Genomic DNA, 11,257 nt, shown 5'->3' on the forward strand with positions numbered 1-11,257 from the left:
ACCCACCGTGTTCTAATTACCGCACAGCATACCAGAGTGGGCCCATACCCCCCGCAGACTTATCCACCCCTCTCTGAATGGACATCTTCCCTTCACTATTGTGTTTTATATCTCCACCTTTCTCCCTCTACTGTCAGCTGTTTGAACAGAATAACAGGTTCCAGAGTCACTGCCTGAGTTCAAATTGCAACTGCCATAGGCAAGTTCCCACTCTCTCTGTCTCATCTGTGAAATGAGGGCAATGATAATTGAGACCTCACAGGTCTGCTCTGAGTTACAACAAACAAGCACTTAGCACAGTTTCCTGGTACATAGTCAGTGCTCAATAAATGTTTGTTAGATGAATCAGCAGATGGATGTGGGCAGAAAGCAAGTCCCATTGCATCCCCCAGAGCATAATGGCCCTAAAGAATAATGTAAAGTGCCATGGTTAGGAGAGGTTAGGCAATGGCTGGCTTTAGAATGCCTGTGTTCTCCACAAGCTAAGAAGCACTGGAAGCTGGATTAGCAGGGAGTTCCTTGTGGTCAACAAGGAGATCTGTATGGCAGGTTTGCCACTGGCTTCTGTAAAGCCCACAGCATAGTCACATGGAGTAAAGTCAGGGGACCAGAATTTGCCTAATGGTAAAAAGTCCAGCCTTGGAATCAGACAAAGAACCAAACAGAACTGGGTTCAAGTCCAGTTATGCTGTTTGCTAGATGCATTGACCTTGGGAAACTCCCTTAAGCTCCCTGAGCCTCAGCTTCCTCCTGTGTAAAGTGGGCAAGTGCTGATGTATGTTTGGAAGGACGTTATAAGGATAATGTGTAAACAGCTTGCCTTGGTGCCTGGGGTATTGATGTTGCTCAATTAATACTAGCTGGAGTGGTGATGGTGATGACGAAACAATGAAGAAGGAGGGTCGGGGAGGGTGTGGTGGATTAAAGATGGCAGCCAAATCTTAGTTACTTTCATCATTGAGGGGGGTGTCTAACTCCTCTTCCCTAGAATCTGTCCTGGCCCTAATGAGTGATTTGACCCATAGAATGTGGCACAGTGACATTCTAAGAATTCCAAGATAGGTTATAAGAAGTCTTGTAAGGCTGGGCATAGTGGCTCACACCTGTAATCCCAGAACTTTGGGAGGCTGAGGTGGGGGTATCAATTGAGGCCAGAAGTTCAAGACCAGCCTGGACAACACAGCAAGACCATGTCTCTACAAAAAATTTAAAAATTAGCTAGGTGTGGTGGCACACACCTCTGGTTCTAGCTACTCAGGAGCCTGAAGCAGGAGGATTGCCTAAGCACAGGAGTTGGAGGCTGCAGTGAACTATGACCATGCCACTGCACTCCAGCCTGGACAATAGAACAATACCCTATCTCTTAAAAAAAAAAAAAAAAAAAAGACTGTGTTGCTTCTGCCTAGACCTGGAATATTTCTCTTGGGATGCTCCCTCTTGGAACCCAGCACTGTGAGTCCAAATATCTGTCCCAAAATGACACTGTATAGTGGGCAGTGCCAGTAGCAGTCGAGTGGACTGCTAGTTACCGGCCAAATAACTATTCTTTCTTTTCTCTTTACTTACAGAACACCAATTCCAGTGGGAACAGCAATGTGCATGGCTAAAATATTACGTTCCCTTATCCCATAACTTATAGGTAAAATTGGCCCATGAAACACAAGTGGAAATCTCGAGGTTTTTATGAAAAATGTATTTTCCCTTCCTCCTTCTGTCTTGTTTTGACTCTTGCTTGGAGTAAGGACATGAAAGCTAAAGTAGAAGCAGCCATCTTGAGATCTCATCAAAAAGGCTAGGAGCATCACGGTGACCTCAGTCTTGCCATCCTTTACCTGCTGGTCCACCACCACAACTACCTACCTTCAGTTTTTTTGTTTTGTACAAAACCAAAACAAACAAACCAAAAAAATCTCTTTTTAAAGGCATTGTTATTGAGTTTTCTGTTGAATGCAGCAAAACACAATCCTGAAATAACACAGAAACATGTGCAGTTTTGCCTGATAGGCACCTATTTCCCTCTCCTCTATAACAACTTCCTCATTTCCTTCTGTGAAACCAGCCCTCTTCAACCACAATTCATTTGGCTGAATGAGGATCCAAGGCAGGGTACGTGAGCAGGCCTGGACAGTGAAAATAAAGTCCAGGATTTTCCCTAGAGATATTGAGAAATAAATGCTCTCTTTTTCAACTGAGTTTGCAAAGCTGTGAATTTAGGTCTAGAACTGCTGATGGCCACCATGACCCTGCTGGAGAGTGTGTGTCAGAGAATGAAGCCAACACAGAGGAAAGCAGAGCTGAGATGAAGAGGAGTCCCAATGACTGACATCACCAGGCCCACGGAGCCACCTGGGCCTGAAGTTAGATCCCCCTCAACCTGTCTGTTAACTGAGCCAATACATAATTTTTGCTTAAGCCCATTAGAGTTGGGTTTATGTTCCTCACAGCTCAAAGATTTTGGCTAATCCACAGAGTAAATTTTGTTATAAAGTTCCATGTTCTGACCCACTGTGCAACTGCCAGCTTACGTGCAACCCTAGGTAAAGCAAATAGATACATAGAGATAGCTGGTGTATTAGTCTGTTTTCACGCTGCTTATAAAGACATACTGAGACTATGTAATATGTAAAGAAAAAGAGGTTTAATGGACTTACAGTTCCACATGGCTGGGGAGGCCTCACAATCATGGCAGAAGGCAAAAGACGTGTCTTACATGGCAGCAGTCAAGAGAGAATAACAGAACTTGTGCAGGGAAACTCTCCTTTATAAAACCATCAGATCTCGTGAGATTTATTCACTATCATGAGAGCAGCACAGGAAAGACCTGGCCCCATGGTTCAGTTACCTCCCACCGGGTCCCTACCACAACATGTGGGAATTGTGGGAGCTACAGTTCAAGATGAGATTTGGGTGGGGACACAGCCAAACCATATCAGCTGGTTACTTTAGAATAAAATAAGTTCAGTGTTTCACATTTTCCATCCTTTTCTTACTTGTTGAAACCCCATTTCACATGGTCTTGGGAAGCAGAATTTATTCCAGCAAATCACCATAAGACACGAACTTTCACATGTGCTTTCAGCAGCTGAGGCATCCTGGCCCTGGAGTAGCCCTTTCATGAGTCTTTCTCCACAAAGTGCCCTCCCCAGCTACTCCTGAGCGAGGAAGCTGTCTCTCTCTGCTTCTGGGGGTATCATGGGAATCATGAAAAGGAATAACTTTGGAACCAATAGTGCTTGGTTTAAAACTCTATTCTGCTACTCACTTGCTGTGTGATCTTGGATGAGTTACTTGTCTCTCTGGTCTTCATCACTTCCACTACTAAAATAAAAAAGGAGACAATATTATCTGTCTCAGGATATTTTGACATAAATTATATATGATGCTAGTACAGAGTAAGTCCTCAAGAAATGGTAATTATTGTTATTAATAATAGCAAAATGGCCTGGCGCAGGGGCTCATGCCTGTAATCCCAGCACTTTGGGAGGCCAAGACGGGGGATCACCTGAGGTCAGGAGTTCGAGACCAGTCTGGCCAACATGGTGAAACCCCATCTCTACTAAAAATGCAAAAAGTAGCCGGGCGGGGTGGTGCGCACCAGTAATCCCAGCTACTTGGGAGGCTGAGGCTGGAGAATCGCCTGAACCCGGGAAGTGGAGATTGCAGTGAGTTGAGATCATGCCACTGCACCCCAGCCTGGGCAATAGAGCAAGACTTCATCTCAAAATAATAATAATAATAGCAGAACAAGGAGGACTGATTGAACCCAAGAGTTCAAGGCTGCAGTGAGCAATCCAAGAGTGGATTGCACCATTGCACTCCAGACTGGGCAACAAAGTGAGGCTCTATCTCTGAAAAAATAAAAATAAATAATAAATAAAAATAATAGGTCCGGCACCGTGGCTCAACCCTGTTATCCCAGCACTTTGGGAGGCTGAGGCAGGTGGATCACCTGAGGTCAGGAGTTCGAGACCAGCCTGACCAACATGGCGAAACCCTGTCTCTACTAAAAATACACAAATTAGCCAGGCAAGGTAGCATGCACCTGTAGTCCCAGCTACTTGGGAGGCTGAGGCAGGAGAATCACTTGAACCTGGGAGATGGAGGTTGTGGTGAGCCGAGATTGCGCCATTGCACTCCAGCCTGGGCGACAAGAGCGAAACTCCGTCTCAGAAAAAATAAAACAATAAAAAAAAAGCAAAACATTTAGCACAGTGCCTTGCATAGAAGAAGCAAGCACTGAATAAATATTTGTTGAAATTTTGTAAGTTCAAGTCAATGTCATGAAAATGAGGTGGGGGGAAACTGTGGTATATTTTTAAACACTTTTTAAAAGATTTAAAACAAATAACAAATCAATGCAAAGAGTAGACTTTGTTTGGACCTTCATTACTATAAGCCAACTGTAAACACAGATTTTTTTGGCATTCTGAAAATTCTAATTTGACTTGAGTATCAGGTGACAATAAGGAACTTTTAATTTTGGTAAGTGTAATAATCACTTTGTGACTAGATTATGCAAGAAATTATTTCTCTGTTTTTTGAAATGCATACTGATGACTCTGGAGGTGACAGACACTGTGTCTGAGATTTGCTTTACAATACCCTCCCCTAAAAAAACAGAAAATTAAAGATGGGTAAGGTTAGATGAAGTAAGTATGGCAAAACGTTGATGCTTATTGAAGTTGGGTAATGGACACACGGATGTCAGTTGCACTCTGTACTTTTGTGTATGTTTGGAAATGTTCACAATTTCAAAAAAAAACTTAAAAACAGCAACAACAAAAAAATGAGGCTGGGCACAGTGGCTCACGCTTGTAATAACAGCATTTTGGGAGGCAAAGGAGGGAGGATCATATAGAGCCCAGGAGTTCAAGACCAGCCTAGGCAACATAGAGAGATCTCCATCTCTTCAAAAAAATTTAAAAATTAGCCAGATGTGGTGGTACTCTCCTGTAGTCTCAGGTGGCTGAGGCAGGAGGATTGTTTGAGCCCAGGAGGCTGAGGCTGTAGTGAGCCATGATCGTGCCACTGCATTCCAACCTGGGTGACCGAGTGAGACCCTGTCTTAAAACACACACACACACACACACAAATGCTTCTTGTCCAGGAACTTGGTTGTCACTCTCTGGGGCTCCTGACTAAGTTAGGCACAGGCTTGATGGTGAGTTAAACAGTCCATGATGCAGCTAAATTGGGGGTCTCAACCATGATGCCTCCTGGGCACAGGGGTCTCCTGGCAGGGACAATTTCCCATCTGGAGCCACACAGACTGAGGGAAGACCCCACGGACCCCCCACCCCACCATGCCCACTTTGACACACACAAAACTGGCCCCAGGACTAGTAGCAAACCACAGCTGCTTCTGACACAACCCCTAATTAGAGGAGGCCTGGTTGGGATTAAACTTATTAAGTACATTATTAATTCAGGCTGGAGACCCATCATGATGTGGCTGTTTATGACGACATCTAGAATTTGTGGTCACTTCAGAAGTGCCCACCATTTGAGAAGTCTGCCATGAACTTCGGGAGGTTCCTTGAGGTCACTGGGATCTCTTGGCTGCCCCTGGAGAGCTCCTGGTTGGATCAAAAGGAAGGAACACAGCAGGGTGGGAATGTGCACTGGGTGGGGAGTCAGGAGCCCCAAGCTCCACTCCTGACCCTGTAGCCTCTTTGGCAACGACCGCAGATAAGGCACTCAGGCAGGGTTAGAGGAGGACCTCTGGAGTTGCACAGACCAGGCACAGAACTGGTGCCAATTATGGGAGAACCAAAATACGTCCAAGCTCTTTCACTCACCTACTTTGCCCATCTAAGCCTTGGTTTCCTCGTCTACCAAATGGGGAGGTGGACCTTCCTGAGATCCAACTGCATGCCACCTCCCTGACCTCCCTAAGGGGGTCCCACTCATTCACTCACTGCCCCCACACTTTGCCCAGTTTGCAATCACACAATTATTTGTTTACTTGCTTATTCCCCCTGTCCCTCTCCAGCCATCCCCACCCCCAACTCTCAGCTCTAGTGGTTGCGCTCTATTTTATCCCCATTCTATCCCTGGCACGCAGCCCTGTGCCTGACAAAGTAGGCCTTCAATAAATATTTATTGGATGGAACCATGAACAGGTCTTGGCCCTGTGTTGACACTTAGTAAATGCTCAATAAATTACAGTATGAATATGATCATTATTATTATCATTTCTAAGTTTCAGTTTCTTCTCTGAAATATGAAGTTGCTCTTACTTACACCCCCAGATTTGCAATAGCCTTGGTGAGCCAAGACATAATGCAAAGAATTACTGGCACTCCTTGCCTGGAATGCCAAGCCAATGCCAGTGAGCTGTCAGGCTGTAGGGGAAAATGGGTGCAGGGCCACAACCTAGGCACAGCAGGGGAGGCATCTCTGTGAGATGATGGGCATGGTCTTTCTTTGCTTTGCTTTTCATTCTTCATGCAAGGGTTATGACTTTTATCTGTTGCACAACAAATAAAAGGGAATTTTCAAGAATCTTCTAACCGTTCTGGCCTGGGTCTGACAATTGTGGCTTCCCCCTCTGGAATGCTACATGAAGACACTCAGGAAAGAGCACTGAAGTGAAGGGGAGTCCTCAGCTATGATTATGAGGACACCTACACACTCCTGGGTAGAGTACAGAAGACAAGGCATTCCCAAGGCTGTGGGAGGCAAAAATCAGTGGGGATGATGGAACAAAATGCTAGTGTTTATCTCCATCATCCAAGATCTATTCTCTCCTTCTACCTTAGCAACAGAACAGAATTGTCAACGTGCCCAGTTGAAAACTGAATTTCCCAGTCATCTTTGCGCATAGAGGAGACCAACAAGATCGAAGCGAAAGTCATTGGTTAGGACTTTCAGGAAAGTACCTGAAAGACAACTGACTAGGAGGTTAAGAGACAGATTGATGGTGCTTTTTTTTTTTCCAAGACAGAGTCTCCCTCTGTTGCCCAGGCTGGAGTGCAGTGGCGTGATCTCGGCTCACTGCAAGCTCTGCCTCCCCGGTTCATGCCATTCTCCTGCCTCAGCCTCCCAAGTAGCTGGGACTACAGACGCCCAACACCACGCCCAGCTAATTTTTTGTATTTTTAATAGAGATGGGGTTTCGCTGTGTTAGCCAGGATGGTCTTGATCTCCTGACCTTGTGATTTGCCCGCCTCGGCCTCCCAAAGTGCTGGGATTATAGGCATGAGCCACCATACCCGGACTGATGGTGCTTTTTTTGATTTTCTCCTCCTTCTTGTACATAATGCTAGAGCTCAGATGCAACGGCTGGAGCTCCAACAGCTATCTTGGGCCATGAGGTGACCTCAAGAATAGAAGCCATGTACTAAAGATGGCAGAGCAGAAGCAGCCTAGGCTCTGGATGATATCATGGAGCAGCCATCCCCGTCATAGACTGTCTAGCTGCAGGTTCTCAGGATAGGAGAAATTTGAAACTCAAATGTGTTGGAACAACATTAGTCAGATTTGTGTAATTGGAAGCTCAACACAACTCGTTACAGGCACAGGACTGATGGAGGAAAGTGTTTGACACAGTATCCAACACATAGTGAGTAAGTACAGGGATGAAATAATTAACTATTGGCCTGGCGCAGTGGCTCACGCCTGTAATCCCAGCACTTTGGGAGGCCAAGGCGGGTGGATCACTCAAGGTCAGGAGTTCGAGACCAGCCTGGCCAACATGGTGAAACCCCATCACTACTAAAAATACAAAAATCAGCCAGGTGTGGTGGCGCCTGCCTGTAATCCCAGCTACTCAGAGGGCTGAGGCACGAGAATCACTTGAACCTGGGAGGAGGAGGTTGCAGTGAGCTGAGATCACACCACTACACTCCAGCCTGGGTGACAGAGTGAGACTCTGTCTCACAAAAAAAAAAAAAAAAAAAAAAGAAAGAAAGAAAGAAAAAAGAAAAGAAATAATTAACTATTGACTAAGCTCAGGAAGGAAGGGTAGAAGGGAGGGAGGAAGAAGGAAGAGAAAGAAAAAGAGGAAGAGAGCCTGGGCGCAGTGGCTTATACCTGTAATCCCAGCACTTTGGGAGGCCAAGGCGGGTGGATCACTTGAGAGGCCAGGAGTTCAAGACCAGTCTGGACAATATAGCAAAACTTGTATCTACTAAAAATACAAAAATTAGCTGGGCATGATGGTGCATGCCTGTGATCCCAGCTACTTGGGAGGCTGAGGCACAAGAGTCGCTTGAACCTGGGAGGTGGAGGTTGCAGTGAGCCGAGATAGTGCCACTGCACTCCAGTCTGGACAACAGAGCAAGACCTGGCTCAAAAAAAAGGGGGGGTTGGGTGGGGAGAGAAAGGGAGGAGGAAGAAGGAGGCAGTCTATGATAGCTCAAGAATATTTCTCTGCTCTGGAAGTGGGCTGAGGCTTTGAAATGAGGGATCTTTTGGGCAAATTCAAGCCCCGACCCACTCCATGCCTCACCCTTAGGTCACCTTCCTGGAAGAAGCCGTCACTACCATGTTCTCAACAACCCCACTGCCCCAGGTGCTTGGAGCTGACTCAAGACGGAGCAGGGCCCAGACCAACAGCAGCCTGGACCCAGCCCCATGTCTGTTGCAGAGAGGCACTGCCCAAGTCTCCTTTCCTGTCTGCGCTAGTTTCATCATCTTGACAGTAATGCAGACCCTCTGGAAGGGTCTTTCCAACTGTGAATAGTACGGTAAGATGTTTTCAAACTTGCCCCAGAGGTGGCTCTCCTATGAGAAATGTAACCCCTATGTGCTGAGCAGGCACATTTTCCATCAGGACAGCCCAGAAAGGCTGATATCATTACAACAGACATGGGGAGTGAAGCTCCGGGGCTCACAAAGCTGAGGAGGGCAGAGCCAGCTTTTGGACCCTTCAGGGTCTGGGACACCAAAGCCATGTTTTTAGCCTCTGCGTTTTACTCCCTTTCCAGACTTTTTTCTTCATCCCCTCCCTGAGTTGAGGCCCTGACAAGAGGAAGAAGCTGTATAGGAGTTGGGGACAAGTTGAGGGTCGTCCATGCCCCCAACACACACCCTGCCTCTGTCCCCAGCCTCTTCCCATCTCTGGCTCCAGTCCAAAGGCAGCTCCAGCCCACTCAGCCCCACCCAGGTGCCTCTGGGGGGAAAACAAATAACAATAAAATGGTAATAACTTGGGCTAAGCAAGAGCACGGGCAACAGCTTTAGTCAATTAACATTCCTTCAGGGTTTGAGGCAGGCCCCCTTCAGCAGCACCTCATAAATGTCAGGAGGGACTTGGAGGCAACTGGAGTTTCTCTGTGGCCTGGCTAAGGCCAGCTCCCTGAGCTGGGGTTGTCCAAGTGGCTTCTCCAGGGAGACAGGGGTACACACAGCCGTCCAGGGACTGGAAGGAAGCCAGAGTGAACACCCTTACTGGGAGCCCGAGTCAGCATCACGTGGGGTGGGGGACAGATTGATGGTGCTAACCAGAGGCCCAAGAACCTTCCTGATCCCATCCTGGGATATGGTGGGCCTTTCTGCACTGGGAAGCAGCGGCAAGGCATGGTCAACCCCTCCCTGCTCTGACAAGAGGTCATAAAGCCTCAACCAATCTCCTCTCTTTGCCCAACTGCACTGTGGTGGTTAATTTATGTGTCAGCTCAACTAGGCCACAGGGTGCCCAGATATTTGGCTCACCACGATTTCTGGGTGTGTCTATGAGGGTGTTTCTGGATAAGATTAGCATTTGAATCAGTGGATTGAGTAAGGCAGACTAGCCTCCCCATGTGGGAGGACCTCATCTGATCCACTGAAGTCCCAAATAGAACAAAAGGCAGAATAAGAAAAAATTTTCTCTCTTTCTGCTGGGATATTAGTTTTGTCCTACCTTCAGACTCAGGCTGGGACTGGAACTTACACAATTCATTGGCTCTCCTGGGTCTCAGGCCTTCAGACTCAGGCTGGGCTCCCCTGGGTCTCCAGCTTGCAGCAGATCTGAGGACTGGTCGGCCTCCAAAAGCATGTGAGCCAATTCCTTATAGCAAATCTCTTTATATGTCTATTTTCTATATCCCTTCTTCCCTTTACTCTGAATGCCCAGTCCATACACCTTAGCTTGTGGAAGGGATCTCCCCAGTTCCTACTTCCTCCTCCCTCCAAGCTCAGGTTCCCTGATGCCCCAAGGGGGACCCCTCTGATTCCCTCTCATTCCTCTCCATATTTTTCTTTCATAGCACATCTTAGATTGCATGTCGGTTACTTTCTGTCTCCCCCAGGAGACTGTATGTCCAAGTCAGGGGCAGGGTCTGGCATGTGCACTGCTGAGAGCCCACCATAGTGCCTTGAGAATGGGTGAAGAAACAAGGAGACAATGCCCACTTCTGCCTGAAGGCTCCCAGATGCCCAGTGGGATGGAGGGTTTCCTGGAGTCCCTGTGTGGTCCCTTTAGGGCAGCCCTTCTCAAAAACCAGAGGATCCCAAACCTGCCAGTGTAACCGAATCTCCTGGGCTGCTTGTGAAAATGCAGGTTCCTGGATCCACGGCCAGAGATCCCGATGGCTGGGAAGATGCATTTTGGCAAGCACCTTGCAAGATTCCCATGCAGAAGAAAAGCAGTGGCCCCTGGAGGGTGGGCCTGGAACCTTCTCTGGGTCCTCCCACCTCTGCCATGGTACCCTATCTGGTAGAGGCTTTCTGGAAGATGCATCTCTCCCGGAGAGATGAGTGGAAAGGATGGGACTGGAAGTCACTGGGGTCTGACATCCAGCTTGAGCTCTGTCCCCAAAGGAGCAGTATGACCCTTGGCAAATTGCTTCCCCTCTTATTCATAAAATGGGGGATATAATACATATCCCAAGGGCTGTAGCAGGAATAACTGGAATTTTCTGCAGGGCTATAGAGTCATACGTGGTGTACTATTACTGTATTCACCATTATTGTCACTATCGTAGTGATTGGCAGTTTTGGACAGAATCAAGGAGGGCTTTGAATGCCAGAATGAAAGACGTATATTTAGATTTAATGTCACATACGTGTGTTTATTCATTCATTGATTCAACCAGTGTTTACTGAGTTACTACCATGTTTCAGTCCCAGGTTCAGGCCCTGGAGATAGAGATACTGCACCTGGCCTGAGAAGTCTCCCCTGGCCAGGGGCCACAGTGTTCACAGGGCCAGGCAGCTCATGTGGGTGAGCGTCTAGGTGGGGCCTGCAGTGAACCAGGGCCAGAGTCTCCATCTGCAGAGGGCAATTGCCCCTTAGCCCTGTGCCAAAGAAGTCAGGCCAAATGGGTTGGAG

The sequence above is a fragment of the Homo sapiens genome, chromosome 5, assembly GCF_000001405.40.
Source record: "Homo sapiens chromosome 5, GRCh38.p14 Primary Assembly".
NCBI classification, from domain to species: Eukaryota; Metazoa; Chordata; class Mammalia; order Primates; family Hominidae; genus Homo; species Homo sapiens.